This window comes from Homo sapiens, chromosome 1, assembly GCF_000001405.40.
Source record: "Homo sapiens chromosome 1, GRCh38.p14 Primary Assembly".
Taxonomy (NCBI): Eukaryota; Metazoa; Chordata; class Mammalia; order Primates; family Hominidae; genus Homo; species Homo sapiens.
In genome coordinates, this window is record NC_000001.11 from 207,642,269 (window position 1) to 207,662,322 (window position 20,054).

A 20,054-nucleotide genomic window follows, 5' to 3' on the forward strand; every position below is an offset into this window, starting at 1 on the left:
CTCCCAAAGTGCTGGGATTACAGGCATGAGCCACCGCGCCCAGCCCTAACATCAAATTTTAAAAGAGTTGGCCACAGTTTAATGACATCCCTGCACACCAGCCTCCACCCATACTGCCCTTCATAAGCCCCTTAAAGGAGATCCCATAGTTCTAAACCGGGTCCACAAACACAGATATCCTCATTCTCTCCTTTTCTTCTCTTTGGCAGTTTGACAAAATCTTTAGGGGGAATTGGAGGAAACATTAATTTCCTAAATCAACTTCATTCAAAGCTTTGGCTTCAAGTTCTACCCGTTAAGGCCTCAGGAAGTTCATTGTCGACATTGAACTCAGTCACTAAAATGACCTCAAGGCTAAGGGATAGACCACAGCTCCACTTCACAAGTAAGCTTGCAACACCTGATTTAGGAAAGTTTGCTGTGCAGACAGTTGTAGCTCATCCATTTTACAGACCGATCTCGATTTGTTTCCTAGGGTCTAAAATTATTTAAATCAAAATCTCTCAGAAATTTCTGGACATTTAATAAATTCATGCTGGAGGAGAACTGGCAGAGATATGTTAAATGCACTTGACCACAAGAACCATTTATTTCATCCAATATTTACCAGCTATTCATTGTACACTTACTACAGATTTTGGCACTGGAGATATTATAAGAAAGCTCTAACCCTGACTTATGGAACTTATCCCAAAAAATAGGAAACAAGGCTCAGAACCATTCAAATGAAGCTTCAGTTAACTCAAATAAAAATTAGTTTTATAAATTTAATGTGAAAGTCTTCGAGTATATTAAGAATGGCTTGATTAACCCCAGGGATGGAAATTTTACTGATTGAAAGAAAGTTTCAATAAAATACCGATCTTTGAATCTAATCTGACACCTGAAACTAGGAAATCAAACACTAGCCATATTTTTTCTTCTATTCTTTATAATAATTTTTCTCATGAGAAAAAGGTATCTTTCTTCCAAGCCTGAAAATAAATGGAGAATTTTTAATATCTATTGATGTGGAGAAAAATAAATAGACTATCTGCTTTCACAAATAAGTGCTGGCATTGAGCCACAGAACATGTCTGTCATATTGCTCTTTCACACCATACATTAACAGGAATAATAATTTCTCCTCATTGAGTTTCCTATTTACTATCCCCTTAATTATACCTCCTTTAATTACTGTCATAGAGTGTCTGAATTTTATAATCCAAGATACTAAGATGTTTATTTGATATACCACCAGACTCAATGTCTTGTATTCTATGCCAAAAATTTGAAAATGTTTGGGAAGAGGAAATTCCGTGGTTTGGTGAACCCAGAAAGTCTTCAGTACATCTCAGTTATAGAACTGTATTAAATACATTTAAACTCTATAATTCCATAAGACCCATTTTAGGTTTATACACTAAGCATCTAATTCCTCACTATCCTCTCATACAAACCCTGTGTAATACAAGTTCTACTCCCATAATTCTATGAACAAAACAACAATTGATACATAGATTTGATTTTTAAAATACATTTTCTTTACCTTATTCTAAATGTAACATAGGGTCAACATAGAAAAAGAAAACTGAAAAGCACAAGGAAAGTGAAATATCTATAATCTTAACCATTGTTAATTTTGTTGTGTTCCAAATTAGTGTATGTATATATATATATATATATATAGCATTTTTGTTTTAATAAAAGGACTGCCAAAATGCACATGCCAATTTGGACTCTGCTTTTTCCACTTACAATGATATCATAGTTTCTCACATTTGGTATTCTTTTGCAATACTTGCTGCATAGAATTCCATCACACAAAGGTAACTGCCTCCTTATTACTTTTGCTAGACACTTAGGGTTTACATTTTTTACAAAAATTATAAATCTTTGATCACAGCTCTGATGATTTCTCTGGGAACTGAGAGCCTAACACAAGTCATTTCCACTTTAAGACTTTTAACATTCTGAAAAGTTATGTTACAAACAGAGTGCTGGTCCCCCTGCAACATGTTCACTCACATTGGCTGACGTTTTAATTCTTTGCCAATCTGAGGGGAAGAGATGTCAACTTTTTTTGTTTGCTCTTTTAATGCCAGTCATGTTCCCTTTTTTTTTCCCCCTTTTACCAGTCATACTGGCTTACTCAGAACCCTACAAATCAATCCTGCTCATTCTTAATTTTCCAACATTGTTCCTGAGATTGTTTCACCAGAAAAGTTCTCCCCCTTATCCACTTCGCCTAACAATTTCTACCCATCCCAATCCTCCTGCATTTATTGCTTCCAGGAATTTGGCACTTAGGACACCCTTGTCCTTACATTGTTCATGCATGTATATTTCGTCTTCAATAAAACATTTAGTTGCTCAAGGGCAAGGGTCCCATAGAGTCTCAATATGCTAACGGCCTGGTGTTGCTTAATAATTTAGATTCTGACGGGTCCTCTCCAGGGAGGGGAGCAAAGGGCAAATTATCTTAGGGGCTGGGAGTGCAGAAGCCAAACCTTTGAGACTGTGAAAAGAAGACGGCGCCGAGACGATTCAGTAGCAGGCATTCAAGCAAGAAAAACTCAAATATTGTTCCCAATAATGCCTGACTAATGCCAAATACCAAGTAAGGGCCCAGGCAGTCCTGACAGCCTGCAGTGCCCCAGGATAAAACTAACCCTGAGGGGTGCTAGCCCACGATAACCCCCTGCCAGGGCTCTGGACACGCCCTGTCTCCTCGAAGGCCAACGGGCTGCCCCTGCGCGCCGAGGCCCCGCCCCGCGGCCCGCCGATTGGCCCCAGCCGCCCCGGCGCTAAGACTCAATTTCACACTACGCGCCCAGGCCACGCCCACCTGTCATGCGGCCCTGGAAACTGTGAGTTTGGGGATTGTTGTGTCCACTAACCGGACTCAGAAGGGACTTCCCTGCTCGGCTGGCTTTCGGTTTCTCTGCTCACCTCCGGATAAATCACGGGGTCTCCCGCGCCGCTCATGGCGCCTCCCGTCCGTCTCGAGCGTCCCTTTCCTTCCCGGCGCTTTCCTGGGTTGCTTCTGGCGGCCCTGGTGTTGCTGCTGTCCTCCTTCTCCGGTAGGACCCCGGGGTGGATTCGCGCGTCCGCGGCGAGGCTAGAGCTCTGCTCAGTCAGTCGGGCAGGAGGCGCGGGGCGAAGCTCACTGCACGTCGTGCCTGCTTGGGATAGAGAGCGAGGCCAGGGTTCTCCGAGGGGTGCCGTGCTCAGATCCCGGGGGTATGTGGCGGGGGATGCGGGAACCACGCAGAAGCTTGTTTGGTGGCATCGTGTGCGCGGCCGACATTTACGCAGGATCTGGCTGCGTTCCCAAAAGAAGCGTGAATCGTGTTTTCGGGATTGAGCCCAGTCAGCAAGGGGAGGGCTTACTGGGCGCCCCAGGTGAGGGCTTGCTCTGGAGTGCACAGGTGCGTGGGATTGTTGCTAGAGCCCGTGCTGTGCCCGTGGTGAGAGTTTGCCCTGTGTTCCCTTGGTGCCTTGGTGAGTAGGGTGTTCATTAGGGCTTGGACAGTACCCGCGGTAAGGGTTGCAGTGCGTCTGCTGTGCCCCATGGGCTGGGCTGGCCTGGGCTGGGCTGGGCGAGCAGGGGCCTGGCCAGGTGTTGCTGGGAGCGTGCTGTGCGCAAGTGGCCTGTGTGCGGAGTTCACTGTGGGCAAGACAGCTCACTGTTTGCTTTGAGTGGAGCGAGCGCGGACTCTGCGGCTAGGGAGGGCATGTTGAGTGAGAGCAGGCTCTCAGTGCCTGGGGTTAGAGAGGTGGTAAGGGCGCACCATGCTTTTAGTGCCTTCTGTGAACAGTGTCCGTGTTGCCTGAGATCGTATTGGTCTTGAATTTTAAGTGGCTGCTTTTTTGGGGGGTGGGTGGGCCATCGAGTCATCTTCCTGTTCCCAACCAATATAGACAGTATCTGATTCCATTGCCTAGTGGCTTTTTGACATTGTTTTCCTTCTTTTCATTAGTTTGAGTCATATTTGAGAGATGTGAAGCAACCTAAAAAACACTGGTAGCCAAACCTAGTGAGAAATTAGTATCCTAACAAAGGAAGGCAGATAATGTTAATCTTGTTTTCCCCTACAGCTCATAAACTGAAGCTTAAGGCCTATCCCACTGTTTTGTATTTCATTGAATGGAATCAATATTTTTAAAAATGCATGCTAGGCCAGGCCCAGTTGCTCACACCTGTGATCCCAGCACTTTGGGAGGCCCAAGTTGGGTGATTGCTTAAGCCCAGGAGTTCAAGATCAGCCTGGACAACATGTCAAAACCCCATGTCTACAAAAAATAAAAAAATTAGATGGGCATGGTGGTGTATGCCCGTGGTCCCAACTACTCCAGAGGCTGAGGTGGGAGGATCGCTTGAGCCCAGGAGGAGAAGACTGCAGTGAGCTGTGATCATGCCACTGCACTCCAGCCTGGATGACAGTGTGAGACCCTGTCTCAAAAAAAAAAAAAAAAAAAAAAAAAGCCAAAAAATACATGCTTAAATACAGGCTTATTGTGCAAAATGAACAAAATAAAAGGACAACTGTTTTTAATATTTTGTTATATTTCCTTCTGACTTTATTGTGTTTCATGTGTATCTATGTCCAAATTATATTTAGGATCTTATTCCATGTACAGATTGTACGTTGCATTTCTTCTCTTAGGAACATTCATTCAACAAATATGGGTCTTGTATGTCTGGTGCTGTTACACTAGTAGGTAATAACAGACAATTCCTATTTTCTTTATCCTTTTTTTACTATTTGTTTACACACACGTACATGCAGGAAGATAAGCAGGGACTTTTTTTGCTCATTGTTAAGTGCTTAATGCCGGGAACACAGTAGGCAATCAACAGATGTTTGCTAAAATGTATTGGGAGTGGCAGACATTAACCAAAACATAATAGTAACAAATATATTAACCAGGGAAGTGTTCTGGAGGAAAGGAGTATAATTTTCTGACAGCATTTAACAAATGACTGGGGGGAGGGAAGGCTTTGCTTCTCATCAAACAGACAAAACTCTGCCACTTTGGGGCATCTGTGCTTTCTGTTCCCTCAGTCCTGGAACGTTCTCCCCATGACCTGCTGCATAAATGGGCTGTTTCTTCTGCAAGCTCAGCTGGAATGTTACCGCTTCAGAGACCTTCTTGGAACCCCCCAACTCAGGTTGAACACATACAACCCAGTTCAAGTACCTCTTGTAATCACCCTTTTAAAGTGATCTTTTCTGTTCTCTGTCTCTCCCCATCAGAATGCAGGAATCTTCTGTCTTCCCCCATTTGTGGTTCCAAAAGCCCCATTTGTTTGCTTCTGTATGAACCCTAACTCAGTATCCATATAGACATCTGTTAAATATCAGAAAATTAAATATACTATTTGGCTGGGGCTTAGAGCCTAGGAAAAAGTCCCTCCTGCCTCCAAGAGGAAGGTTCTTTAAAGAGCTATGCTCAGGATGGTCTTTCTGTTGTACCTAAAAAGCTAGGGCAGCAGCAGCTGAGGGCCAGAAAGGATCTGTCTCCCCTGTTTATGTTGACTCTGCAGGGCTTCCAGTACTTCAGTCTTGCATCTCACTGATCATTAAAACGTTCATTTTGAAGGAGGGTGATGGGATTAGGGAGCAGTGGTGTTAAGAAGAAAACGAAAGGACTTTTTTTTCTTTTTAAAGATTAATGTTTAGAATAGGCTTAGTACTAGAAGTACATACAGCCTGGGCATCATAAGGAGAGCCCACCTCTACAGAATATTAAAAACAAAAAATTAGCCAGGTGTGATGTTGCATGCCTGTGGTCCCAGCTACTTGGGAGGCTGAAGGGCGTGAAGGGGGAGGATCACTGGAGCCCCCATGGTCAAGGCTGCAGTGAGCCCTAATCATACCACTGCACTCCAGCTTGGGTGACAGAGTGAGACCCGGTCTCAAACACACACACACACACACACACACACACACAGACACACACACACACACAGAAAAAAAAAAAAAACCTGGAAGTTGAAGAAGATAATGAAAGCAATTTGAAATAGAGGAACATAGAATTATAAAATGAATAGGGTGCAACATGGAAGATAACAAAACTAAAAATGAAGAGAAGGAAAAATAAGGTTAAGTTTGAGGTTGATAGGGTTAAATCAAGACAGGTATGAAACCTAGAGAAAGTAAAAATGAGAACTCACGATGCTAGGCAGAGAGAATACATGAATTAAAATAAACATTCAATTTTTGGAGCAACTCACTCTCACAAAGATAAGGTTTTGTAAGCAGGTGGTGCTGTGCATGGGAGACCTGCCCTCTCAAAGGTAGTTGCCAAATGGTTCCAGATAGCAGAAGGAAACATGTGTCAAATTTCAGGCCAGTCTCATTCATTCCTCCAGAAGAGGAGCTGCTTTTTTGGACAAAACCCCCGATCTCCTGTTGTGTGTGGTCTCTTCTGCCTATTTCAGGTGTTTTCCTTATTTTCAATGAAAGAAGCCAAGACCAGTAAGTTCTTATTGCTTCTTAGTTTCCTCACTCGGCATACTACAATGCAAAAAGAGCAGTCCATATCTGGTCACCTGCCAGGATACCAGAAGACTGGGAGATAGGCAGCACAAGAAATGGCTAAATCTTCTTTCTCCATTGTTCTGTAGAATGATTATTTTCAATATGAAATTGATTACAATATATTCTTCACATTGTTTTGTGTTTGACAGCAGTGGACTTTGAGTACCAAATTTTTTTCAAATAGCTACTATGAGGGACATATTGTGCTGGGTGTTGTGGCCACATGGATGAATGGAGTCGGCCTTGTTAACTATTAAACTCAAAAACACGTGATAATTACCTGAGAGATCCATGCAGGGGAGAGTCCAGGGGAAGGTGACTGATCACTGCTTCCCAGGGGGAGGCAGAAAATGCTTCTTGGAGGAGATGATGGGTGGATTAAAGAAGACAAGAGCTGAGCAGGAGTTGTAGCTACCGGCCAGGGAGGAAGGGTATTCAGAGCAGAGGAAGCAAGGTGAGCAAAGGCACCAAGATGTGACACTGCTGGACTGCCAAGCTATTCAGTGTGGCAGAGTAGGGTAAAGGAGACAACAAAGAAGGGAGAGGAATAAATCACAGGGTGAGCAGTTCTAAAAAGCAACAGGCTTGTCAGGAATAAACAATCACCATCGTAAACTCAGACTTTGGTATTATTCCCTGTCCTTTTAGGGCAGCTTGAGCCCTTTTGTTTGACTTAGCACAACGTGACTCCAAACTAGGGTTGTTTTAATTTCCCGAGACACAGTAGTAGGCAATTTCTTGAGGACCTAATTGCAGATAGAGTTTGTCGGTCTCAGCATGTGGGAGCTCCAGATGAATGGCAGTAATGGGAAGCAGTTTGGTAGTGGTTCAGCAGTGTGGCCTGGGAACCTAGTTGACTGGCCTGCCTCCTGGGTCTGCCAACCTAACTGGAATGTATTCTTGGGTTCTGATTGTGATGGGATTTAAAAGTCTCTAAGCTATGTTAGGAAGCCTTAGACATTATCCTGAGGTCATTGGAGAGCCATCGAAAGGTATCTGTCTTGGAAAAACCTTGATTACTCTGTCATATAAATACTGCTCTGGTAATGTGAAAAATGAATTGAATGAAAGGTGGCAAGATAGGTATGGAGACCTATTTAGTTATGTCGTGGTAATCCAGATAAGAAATGATAGTGGCTTGAATGAAAAGTAAAGGATACAACTACATAGAATAAACGGGCATTTCAGTTGTGGAAACATAACTTGTTTGGGGGGCGTGTGTGTGTATGTGTATGTGTGTGTAGAGTCAAAAGTGGCTCTTGGGCCTCCCTTTGTTGTTTGAGCTAGAGTGACACATTCCAAGTAGAGCTGTGTGGGGAGGCAATTGAATATGTAGTTTTGGCACCCCAGCTAGAGATCTGGGATGGAGAGATACCCAGCTAGGAGGCAGCTGGTTATCAGTGGTAATGAAGTCACAGAAGTGTATATATTCTCCCAGGGGGACCTGCAGAATGGAATCACAGGAAGTCCTCCTACAGACTCATCAGGGATATTACCTTGGTATGAGCCAGAGGACAAGCTGAAAACCAGAGTGGTTTGCTCTCCTAAAAGCCAAGGAGTGAGAACTCTTCAGGCAGAAGAGAGTGAGGGCAGAGTGATCAGTAGCTCTCACGTTATCAAGAGGGTAATTCAAACTATTAAGGAAGAGACTGTTAGGAGGAGTTTAACAAGGAGGAGGCCCTTTAATGACTCAGAAAGTAGTTGAAGTAATTTTCATAGACCTAAAAATGAGTGGGAAGTGAGAAATAAAATTGAAATATGTAGATGTCAGAGTTTATGTTTTGTGGAAGCAAAAAAGGTTTTAAATAGATTGGATAGTGGGAGAAGGAGCAAGATGGTCAGGTTTCATTGCCATTTCACTTGTAGTCAAATACCATGAATTTCTGGTAATACTAATCTGGGCAGGGCTGTGGGTATGCGTGTACATTAGTTAATTTTTTGCAAGCAGGTGTGAATGTACAGAAGTTGAACAGTTCAGTGGATGCAGTGTAGATTTTTTTTTTTTTTTGAGACAGAGTCTCGCTCTGCTGCCCAGGCTGGAGTGCAGTGGTGCAATCTCAGCTCACTGCAACCTCTGCCACCTGGGTTCAAGCAATTCTTCTGCCTCAGCCTCCCGAGTAGCTGGGACTACAGGCGTGTGCCACTACACCTGGCTAATTTTTTGTATTTTTAGTAGAAATGGGGTTTCACCATGTTAGCCAGGATGGTCTCTATCTCCTGACCTCGTGATCCGCCCGCCTCGGCCTCCCAAACTGCTGGGATTACAGACGTGAGCCACTGCACCCGGCCCAGTGTAGATAATTCACTTTACTAAAACTCACCTGGAACTTTGGGGAAATTTCTGACTGCACCTATCTTATGATATAATGGCACCTACTGTTGAGGTATAGTATTGTAGCTTAATATTAATTATAATATAAAATATCTAGAAAAAATAAGTCAAGATACTGTTTTTCTGGGGGTAGGCATGTTTAGTTTGAAATTTTCCATAGGAAGAAAGTCCTCTGAAAACGTATTGCCAATAAGTGCATTGCAGGACATGATATATAAAGAAAATATTGGACAGTATATATATGGAGAATTTTAGAATTTAGAATATGACATGAAATGAAGGTGAGATTTCACTTGGTTAGAATTTTCTTGACCAGTCTCTCAACCTGAGGCAGGACCATGACCAGGGAGTAAGAAAAGAAATGCTCCTTGGAGATCAAAATAGATCTATCTACTTTGGTCCTTCCACTATAGAAGAGGCCTTTGCATTCTGTTGGCCCTTTAGGCTTTTACTTGATGTCTCCATCATCTTATTTTGCAAGCCCACAGATAATTTGAGGAAGATGAGTTGCCGCAGTAGAAATGATAGGGAGAAAAAAAAAACTACAAAAAACAGAAATAAAAAATTCTAAAACCACAGCAATATAGTAGCTTTATTATAGGACATGCTGGATAAACAATCCAACAGCTACCTCAGGGAGCTTCTGAGAGAATGCATGATGCAATGATCAGTGAGGCAAGATCAAATTGTGTTTGATGTTCAAGAAAGGAAAAACAATTCATGTAAGTCTATCCAAAGTAGTAAATGTTTTATATTTAAGTAGTGTATATTCACTTGTCAGATGCTCAGTTCACTTATCTGAAACCTATGAAATAAAGTCTTATATTTTAGAATATTTGAGTTCATATTTATTTTAATCTATGAAATCCACTACATTTACTTAATAATCACCTCTTACCATAACATTTCTTGAGCACCCACAAGGTGGGTAGAGTGTAGTAGAAAAAGAAGAACATGGTCCTTGACCCCCAGGAACTTGCCTTTTAAGAGAAGACAGCCTGAAGTGACAAGCTGTTATAAGTTAGTGTTTTAAACTATGGAAGAACAATCTGAGCAGAGTGCTCTATACTGTAGATGACTTCTTAGAGGAGAAGTTACTTTTGAAATGAATTTAGAAAAATGTGGAGAAAGATGCATCCATATATATTTTAAGACCAAAGACATTAATGCTGTCTCTTCAGTTTATTGTCGAATGTTTATTCCCAAACAAACCAAAAGCTAATAGGATGTTACTTAAAACATGCAAATCCCATTTCCTCCACTACTACCAGCACTCAGGTAAAAGCATGGAACAGTCATTTAAAATCTTGCCAAGGGCCTTCCTATTTTTTCTGTACTACCTGCTGCCAGACCACAGTCCATGGCTGATGAAAGTGATATCAGTACTTCATCTTCATGTTCCTATTCTCTTATCCCTAGATGCCTATGAGGAGCCACCAACATTTGAAGCTATGGAGCTCATTGGTAAACCAAAACCCTACTATGAGATTGGGGAACAAGTAGATTATAAGTGTAAAAAAGGACACTTCTACGTACCTCCTCTTGCCACCCATACTATTTGTGATCGGAATCACACATGGCTACCTGTCTCAGATGAGCCCTGTTATAGTAAATAAACTAGCCTTTTTTTTTTGTTTTCTGCTTGCTCTAGAGATTTGCACACATTTTAGGGTACATATTCCACTATGGAGATGATGATTTTTTTTTCTTGTGAAATGAGGTTTAAGATAGCAATGCATTTTTGCAGACTTTGAGAAATTGAAATCTCCAAGAAATCTTTTTCTTGGCAATAGATTGCCTGGGTGAACATGAAACTGAAATTTGCCCTTATAATAGGTAAAGAAAGAAAATAATATGCCCATGCATTCAAAACCGCAATGCAGAATTTTGACCTTGATTCCAATCTGTTTAGAAACTGGATTGAAAAAATCTCAAAATTATTTTCTTTTAGGAAAAACATGTCCATGTATAGGTGATCCTTTACATGGCCAAGCAGTCCTTGCAAATGGGACTTATGAGCTAGGTTATCAGATACACTTTATTTGTAATGAGGGGTAAGTAAGTTCCTCCTTAGAGGAAATAAGGAAAATGTTAGTAATTTTATTTTCGTTTTGCTTCTCTTCTTAAGCTTTCATATAAACTTTATTTAATTTTGCTTTCTATGTGACAAGTTATACTTCTAGCCAAACAACTCTTGGATGTTTTATGGAGACAGCAAAGACGTAGAGTAAATAGAAATTGATATTGAAGGAAAGCATAACTACTTGCTATTTCTGACAATAAGTCTGTTGAAAGCATTAAGAGTGTAGTAATCATGAGAATTCATCCTTCACAACTGAGTGTCCCCTATTTAAATCTGCAAACTCTTAGAGTTAAAGTAGGGCTCACAGAAATGAGAAATAGAATTGCCAACTAAAAATATGCTTGTATCCAGATGACTCTGTAAAGTGTGACCTGGTTAGCCTTTACCATCATGTTGAACAAAAGCTCTCAGTTGAAAAACCTTATTTCTGAGACTGCTACAATGTGAAGCATCTCAAGAACAGGCACTGAGCACTCGGTAATAGCCTTTGTTCTGCAGGACTTTTAAAGTCATAGATATTGGGGATACTGGACATTTAAGTGAAATGTGCTTTTAGAGAGTAAATGTAATTTTCATAGATTTTCTATTGCTATAACACAATACGTGAGACTAGATAATTCATAAAGAAAAGAATTTATTTGGCTCATATTTCTGGAGGCTGGGGAATTCAAGGGCATGGCAGTAGTACCTGGCAAGGGCTTTCATGCTGCATCAGAACATGCTGGAAAGTGAAAGGGAAATTCAGCACTTGCAAAAAAGACAAAGCACAAGGGAGGGGCTCTCGCTTTATAACAACCTGCTCTTGTGGTAACGAATCCAAGCCTACAAGAATGAAGATCCACTCCCTCAAGAATTAATGAAGACCCTCTAGAAAGGCATTATCCCTCTTAATGCCCTAATCATTTCTGAAAGGCCCCATCACCTCTCACTGCTGTTACACTGGCAATTAAATTTCAATAAGAGTTTTGGTAGAGACAAACCAGATTCAAACAATAGCAATAATACACTATAATATATAAACAAAGTGAGTCTTGGAGGAAAAGTGCACTGTGACCATGTAAGGCAGTTTCACTAAGAGTTTTTAAAATTTGGTCAAGTAGAAATATTGGAGTATTCAATTAATAGTTACATAGAGCTTGCTAGGCACTATGAGGGATACCAAAAGTTTAAGACATGGACCCTCCTAAAAGAAGTTCTAACCTTATTGAGAAACAATATATACTGAGAGGTATCAAACCAAAATACTAAATGAGAAATACCAAATAATAGAATTAATCATGTTATTACACTAAGAGTCCAGAAGGAGGAGAGATTCCTGTGAATTTAAATCAGGGAAGATTTCACTGAGTATAGGTGTATACTCAATGAAAGTATTCCTATACTCAATGAGCTACTCCTAGAAAGACATTCTGTTCTAAATAATATTAATAGGAGCTAAAACTCGTGTAGCACTCACTATGTGCCAAATGCTAACTTATCTAATCTCCTAAACAACCCCACGAGCTATGTACTGTTATCCCCTTTTAATCAATTAGGTAACTGAGTGAGAGGAACTTTAAGTGATTTACCCAAGCTCAAGAAACTAGTAAGTTGGGAAGCAGAGACTCTAATCCAGGCATTCCAGCTCTAGGGCCTGTTCTCTCTACAGTCTTGTCCTTACTGAGCAAAGTCGTGTGAGAAAACGCACAGAAATGAATGTGTAATGTGATTGCAGGAGGCAGCAAAGAGGCTGGGTGGAACGGCACAGCAGATTTATTTAGATGTTTTTGCTCTCGGCCAATATACGTTCAAATAGAGAAACTCTTTATTTGATTAAATTGCAGATTTATTTAGCACTTTCATTATATAGTATGTTGTTTAAGAAACCACCCCCCTCAAATTACTGCAGCGTAGAAAATAAACCATATAAAAAGTTCCTTCATTATTATGTGTCTTATTAATTGCTATACAAAACAGTAACCCTTTCTTTTCCCATTTAGTTATTACTTAATTGGTAAAGAAATTCTATATTGTGAACTTAAAGGATCAGTAGCAGTTTGGAGCAGTAAGCCCCCAATATGTGAAAGTAAGTAAATTCTTTTTTTTTTTTTTTTAATTCAGACCAGTAGTCCTCAAAGATTTTTTGCCTCAGGGCACCTTTTACATTTTAAGATTAACAAAGATCCCAAAGAGGTTTCTTTTATGTGGGTTATATCTGTTGGTATTTATCATATTGGAATTCAAACTGAGAGATTTTTTAAATAAGTATTGATTCTTTTTGTTTTTGTTTTTGTTTTTCCTAAGAGAGGGTACCAGTATGTTTCCCAGGCTGGAGCACAGTGGCACAATCTCAGGTCACTGCAACCTCAGCCTCCTGAGCAGCTGAGACTACAGGCATGTGCCACCATACCTGGCTTTTTGTAACTTTTGTAGAGACGTGGTTTTGCCATGATGCCCAGGCTGGTCTTGAACTCCCGTGCTCAAGCAATCTGCCCCCGTGGGCCTCCCAAAGTGCTGGGATTACAAATGTGAGCCACCCCACCTGGCCTGATTAATTTGTAAGAATAGATGCAATACAAATTAACATATATAACATTTTTTAATGAAAAATAACAATTTTCCAAAACAAAATAAAATTAGTGAGAATAGTGGCATTGTTCACATTTTTTGCACATCTCTTCAACACCTAACTTAAAGGAAGACTTGGATTTGGGCTGTTGTGTAATCACACAATATGTAGACTTTGGAAAATATCACTATACACTTCTGCCCGGCGCAGTGGCTCAGGCCTGTAATCCCAGCTCTTTGGGAGGCCGACGCGGGTGGATCGCGAGGTCAGGAGATCCAGACCATCCTGTCTAATACCCTGAAACCCCGTCTCTACTAAAAATACAAAAAATTAGCCAGGCGTGGTGGTAGCAGCCTGTAGTCCCAGCTACTCTGGAGGCTGAGGCAGGAGAATGGCGTGAACCCGGGAGGCGGAGCTTGCAGCGAGCCGAGATCGCGCCACTGCACTCCAGCCTGGGCGACAGAGCGAGATTCCGTCTCAAAATCAATCAATCAATCAATCAATCAATCACTATACACTTATAAGGATGAGAGTGAAAAAAGACAATATTTTGGTGGTATTGTGAATCACCAATTTAGAAAATGGATATATTTAAAAATTGCAAAGGATTTCTCAGCTAGCGCTCAGTTAAGCATATTTTCTCATTAAATTGTCAGCATTTCTTGTGATAACTAGAAGAAAACTTAGCATGGCCTTGCAAATAAATATAGGCGTATTAGGCCGTTTTCGTATTGCTATAAAGAAATGCCTGAGACTGGGTAATTTATAAAGAAAAGAGGTTTAATTGGCTCGTGATTCTACAAGCTGTACAGGAAGCATGATGCTGGCATCTGCTGGGGGTTTGGGGAGGCCTCAGGAAACAACAACCATTGGGAAAGGCAAAGGGGGAGCAAGGTGTCTCACATGGCAGGAGCAGGAGCAAGGTGGGGAGGACGGGAGGTGTTGCGCACTTTTAAATAACCAGATCTCCCAAGCACTCAGTATCACGAGAACAGCACCAAGGGGACGGTGCTAAACCATTCATGAGAAATCCACCCCCATGATTCAGACCCCTCCCACCAGGCCCCACCTCCAACATTGTGGACTACAATTTGACATGAGATTTGGTGGGGACACAGATCCAAACCATATCAATAGGTATTTACACTTTAAGAAAATGAGATTTGTTCTGAAAGTTAGTTACTACATTAATGGTTTGAATTTGGGATGATATATTTGCTCATAGAAACCTTCTTTTAAATCCATATTGAATTCACAACCAGCTTGTAGAAACCCTATATTGACAAATTCACTGAAGACACAGAAATTTTACTAATGCTGCCTTAATCTTTTACATTTCTTTCCTCTTTTTCTTCAATTTTAAGAGATTTTGTGCACATGACCTCCAAAAATAAAAAATGGAAAACACACCTTTAGTGAAGTAGAAGTATTTGAGTATCTTAATGCAGTAACTGATAGTTGTGATCCTGCACCTGGACCAGATCCATTTTCACTTATTGGAGAGAGCACGATTTATTGTGGTGACAATTCAGTATGGAATCATGCTGCTCCAGAGTGTAAAAGTCACCTTTCAATTTATTTCCTTCTTCATCTGTAAGTACTCTGGAAATATTTTGTAAATAGTTTTATCTACAAATAAAGCAGGTGTATGTGCTTCCTCCTCCTGTGTAATTGGATCTAATTTATTTTAATACAGGTCAATTCAAGCCAAAAAATAGTTCTAGCTAGAGTTCTCTATTTTTCACCCCCACATGTTCTTGGGATTTCATTTCATACAGTGTGAACTACTGTGTAATCTGCATGAGTTAGAAGTTTTTGTTTGAAAGACCAAAAAAAATAATAAATCAACAAACACTGGCTTAAAAATAAGAAAGGTGGTTCTTGTATTACAAGAAATCTAAGAGTTCTGGCTTTGGTAGTGGTAGACTGTAACAGACTAATGCTCTCACCAATAAAAATGATAAACTCTGGATAAAAAATAATTTTCTTAAAGACCAGAGTGACCAAAAGTATGAAGACTCCACAGGGGACTTGCCCGTTTAAACAAAGAAATCACAGAATAACAGTGATTTAAAAGTATATACTTCCCAAGTATGCATGAAACATTCTCCAAAGTAGACCATATTCTAGACAATAAGACAATTTTCCACAAATCTCAAAAAATTGAAATCATTCAAAATACATTATCTGATCACAACAGAATGAAAGTAGGAATCAACAACAAGGCCAATCCCCAAAGAAATGAAAAGTATACAAGACACTCCTAAATAATCCATGCATAAAAATAGTAGTCAGCCGGGAAATTAGAAAGTGTTTTGAATTGAATCATAACACATCAAAATATCCAAACATGTAGGATACAGCTAAAGCATTGCTTACAGGGGAATGTATAGCATAACATACTTACGTTAGAAAAAAAAGAAAAGCCTCAAATCAATGATTTAATTTTCCACCTTAAGAAACTAAAAAAGAAGAGCAAATTAAATCCCAAACTAGCAGATGTAAGGAAATGATAAAGATAGAGCCAAAATCAATGAAACTGAGAAGAGAAAAAAAAATAGAGAAGATCAATGAAACCAACAGTTGCTACTTGGAGATCAATAAAATGTGTAAACCTACAGCCAGACTGACAAAGAAAAAAAAGACACAAATTAACCAATACTGAGAATGAAAGAAGTGGTGGTCAAGCACGGCACCCCAGCCAGCTTGAAGACCCTGCACTCCTGCAGCTGGCAGGGGCAGTCACTCCTGGACTTGTCCTTTTAGAAGCTCCAGCTTTACCACTTGCTGGTGGAGCCCAACCACTGCCGCAGGGTCCTCATCACCAACACGCCTGGCAGATCCAAGAGGAGATGGCCCAGGATGGGATGTGGTGAACAGCAGCACCCAAGAGTGTGGGGTGCGTGTGGCTCCACTGCCTGGTTTCTGCAGAGATCCTGTGCCAGTGCCCTGTGCCCGCCACACAGGAGCCAGAGGGGGAGCACCATGCCCCCCACTTCGGAGACTGCTGCACGAAGGGGCCAGGTATCAGACCTTTGCTGTCTCACCTCAGCACTGGCACCAGGAGCCCTGCAAAGCAGCATCTGGGAGATGGACAGCCAGGGGGAAAATAAAGGAAGCTTTCAGAAGTGGCTAGATGAGATATTTGAAATACTGAAAACTAAAAATCCCAACTGCATGGAAGAGCTGGCCTCAGATGTGGTCAGTTCTTACGACAACCTGGACACACAGTGCTGACCCGCATGATGGGATGCACCAAGCTGGGCCCCTGCAACGCACTTGGAGGCTTGGCCCTGCCGCCGCCCCACCTCCCAGCTCCAGCTACAATTGCAGTCTGACCTGGGCAAGCAAGAGCACATGGTGGAGATCCTGATGGAGACCTGAGCCACACGTGCCACAGTGCTGGCCAGACATGGAGGATGGGATCCCGCCAAGGGAACTCTGGCCAGCCTGTAGCCCACTGCCCAGCCTTGCCGGCTCCTCTGCTGATTCCTGCATGGTCTGCAGCCCCAGGCCCATTCCCTTCCTTCCCCTCTGCAGAGGGCAAGCCGGAGGCTGGTCTCAGCAGGAGCTAGGGCTCTCCTCAAAGGCTTTCTGACCTTGGGGCAGGCTTGACATCCCCATGGCCCTGCATCCCTCATCCCTTTTCATGTCTACTGGAGGACAGTGAGCCATAGCTGCAGCAATCTTGTTTAAATTTAGGTAGTTGAATTTTTTAGAATTAAGTTTTGTATGTTTTGAGCAATAAATTGTCTTAAGATATATATTTTAGGTTGCTTCAAGATAGCTGAATAGGAACAGCTCTGGTCTACAGCTCCCAGTGAGATCAACGTAGAAGACAGGTGATTTCTGCATTTCCAACTGAAGTACCTGGTTCATCTCACTGGGACTGGTTGGACAGTGGATGCAGCCCATGGAGGGCAAGCTGAAGCAGAGCGGGATGTCACCTCACCAAGGAAGTACAAAGGGTCAGGGGACTTCCCTTTCCTAGCCAGGGAAAGCTGTGAGTGACTGCCTGGAAGAACAGTACACTCCTGCCCAAATACTGTGCTTTTCCCACAGTCTTCACAACCAGCAGACCAGGAGACTCCCTCCTGTGCCTGGCTGGGGAGGTCCCACGCCCACGGAGCCTTGCTCGCTGCTAGTGCAGCAGTGTGAGATCCACCTGGGATGCTGGAACTTGGCTGGGGGAGGAGCGTCCGACATTGCTAAGGCTTGACTGGGCGGTTCTATGCTCACAGTGTAAACAAAGCGCCAGGGAAGCCTGAACTGGGTGGAGCCCACTGCAGCTCAGCAAGGCCTACTGCCTCTCTAGATTCCACCTCTGGGTGCATGGCATATCTGAACAAAAGGCAGCAGACAGCTTCTGCACACTTAAACGTCCCAGCCTGACAGCTCTGAAGAGAGCAGTGGTTCTCCCAGCACAGCATTCGAGCTCCTATAACGGACAGACTGCCTCCCCAAGTGGGTCCCTGACCCCCGTATAGCCTAACTGGGAGACACCTCCCAATAGGGGCTGACAGACACCTCACACAGGTGGGTGCCCCTCTAGGATGAAGCTTCCAGAGGAAGGATCAGGCAGCAATATTGACTGTTCTGCAGCCTCCGCTGGTGATACCCACGCAAACAAGGTCTGGAGTGGACCTCCAGCAAACTCCAACACACCTGCAGCTGAGGGACCTGTCTGTTAGAAGGAAAACAAAGAAACAGAAAGGAATAGCAGGTGGTGATATCCCCTTTATCATTTTTTATTGTGTCTATTTGATTCTTCTCTCTTTTCTTCTTTATTAGTCTTGCTAGCAGTCTATCAATTTTGTTGATCTTTTCAAAAAACCAGCTCCTGGATCCATTGATTTTTTGAAGGGTTTTTTATGTCTCTATTTCCTTCAGTTCTGCTCTGATCTTAGTTATTTCTTGCCTTCTGCTAGCTTTTGAATGTGTTTGCTCTTGCTTCTCTAGTTCTTTTAATTGTGATGTTAGGGTGTCAATTTTAGATCTTTCCTGCTTTCTTTTGTGGGCATTTAGTGCTATAAATTTCCCTTTACACACTGCTTTAAATGTGTCCCAGAGATTCTGGTATGTTGTGTTTTTGTTCTTGTTGGTTTCAAAGAACATCTTTATTTCTGCTTTCATTTCGTTATGTACCCAGTAGTCATTCAGGAGCGGGTTGTTCAGTTTCCATGTAGTTGAGCTGTTTCGAGTGAGTTTCTTAATCCTGAGTTCTAGTTTGATTGCACTGTGGTCTGAGAGACAGTTTGTTATAATTTCTTTTCTTTTACATTTGCTGTGGAGCGCTTTACTTCCAACTATGTGGTCAATTTTGGAATAAGTGTGGTGTGGTGCTGAAAAGAATGTATATTCTGTTGATTTGGGGTGGAGAGTTCTGTAGATGTCTATTAGGTCTGCTTGGTGCAGAGCTGAGTTCAATTCCTGGATATCCTTGTTAACTTTCTGTCTCATTGATCGTCTAATGTTGACAGTGGGGTGTTAAACTCTCCCATTATTATTGTGTGGGAGTCTAAGTCTCTTTGTAGGTCACTAAGGACTTGCTTTATGAATCTGGGTGCTCCTGTATTGGGTGCATATATATTTAGGATAGTTAGCTCTTCTTGTTGAATTGATCCCTTTATCATTATGTAATGGTCTTCTTTGTCTCTTTTGTTCTTTGTTGGTTTAAAGTCTGTTTTATCAGAGACTAGGATTGCAACCCCTGCCTTTTTTTTGTTTTCCATTTGCTTGGTAGATCTTCCTCCATCCCTTTATTTTGAGCCTATGTGTGTCTCTGCACATGAGATGGGTTTCCTGAAAACAGCACACTGATGGGTCTTGACTCTTTATCCTATTTGCCAGTCTGTGTCTTTTAATTGGAGCATTTAGCCCATTTACATTTAAGGTTAATATTGTTATGTGTGAATTTGATCCTGTCATTATGATGTTAGCTGGTTATTTTGCTCGTTAGTTGATGCAGTTTCTTCCTAGCCTTGATGGTCTTTACAATTTGGCATGTTTTTGCAGTGGCTGGTACCGATTGTTCCTTTCCATGTTTAGTGCTTCCTTCAGAAGCTGTTTTAGGGCAGGCCTGGTGGTGACAAAATCTCTCAGCATTTGCTTGTCTGTAAAGTATTTTATTTCTCCTTCACTTATGAAGCTTAGTTTGGCTGGATATGAAATTCTGGGTTGAAAATTCTTTTCTTTAAGAATGTTGAATATTGGCCCTCACTCTCTTCTGGCTTGTAGAGTTTCTGCTGAGAGATCCGCTGTTAGTCTGATGGGCGTCCCTTTGTGGGTAACCCGACCTTTCTCTCTGGCTGCCCTTAACATTTTTTTCCTTCATTTCAACTTTGGTGAATCTGACAATTATGTGTCTTGGAGTTGCTCTTCTTGAGGAGTATCTTTGTGGTGTTCTCTGTATTTCCTGAATTTGAATGTTGGCCTGCCTTGCTAGACTGGGGAAGTTCTCCTGGATAATATCCTGCAGAGTGTTTTCCAACTTGGTTCCATTCTCCCCATCACTTTCAGGTACACCAATCAGACGTAGATTTGGTCTTTCCATATAGTCCCATA

The 20,054-nt window shown here is 41.8% G+C and overlaps 1 protein-coding gene and 2 pseudogenes across 1 annotated transcript in view, besides 2 other annotated features; all 3 read left to right on the plus strand.

Annotated features, from left to right (window-relative positions):
* Positions 2,665–2,834: a silencer, noted in NCBI's record as "silent region_1773". NCBI's record gives its function as "represses an Ori minimal core promoter by ATAC-STARR-seq in GM12878 lymphoblastoid cells {active_cell/tissue: GM12878}" and the evidence as "EXISTENCE:reporter gene assay evidence [ECO:0000049][PMID:35858748]".
* CD46P1 (CD46 molecule pseudogene 1) lies at positions 2,811–15,143 on the plus strand (annotated as a pseudogene).
* Positions 2,865–20,054, plus strand: part of CR1L (complement C3b/C4b receptor 1 like) — a 78,571-nt gene continuing 61,381 nt past the window's right edge. The window contains exon 1 of the mRNA NM_175710.2: positions 2,865–3,062. Within this exon, the coding sequence (NP_783641.1) occupies positions 2,966–3,062 (97 nt within the window). The 5' untranslated portion in view covers positions 2,865–2,965. The remainder of the gene's footprint in view (positions 3,063–20,054) is intronic.
* Positions 2,895–2,974: an enhancer, noted in NCBI's record as "active region_2448". NCBI's record gives its function as "activates an Ori minimal core promoter by ATAC-STARR-seq in GM12878 lymphoblastoid cells {active_cell/tissue: GM12878}" and the evidence as "EXISTENCE:reporter gene assay evidence [ECO:0000049][PMID:35858748]".
* CDCA4P3 (cell division cycle associated 4 pseudogene 3) lies at positions 16,182–16,871 on the plus strand (annotated as a pseudogene).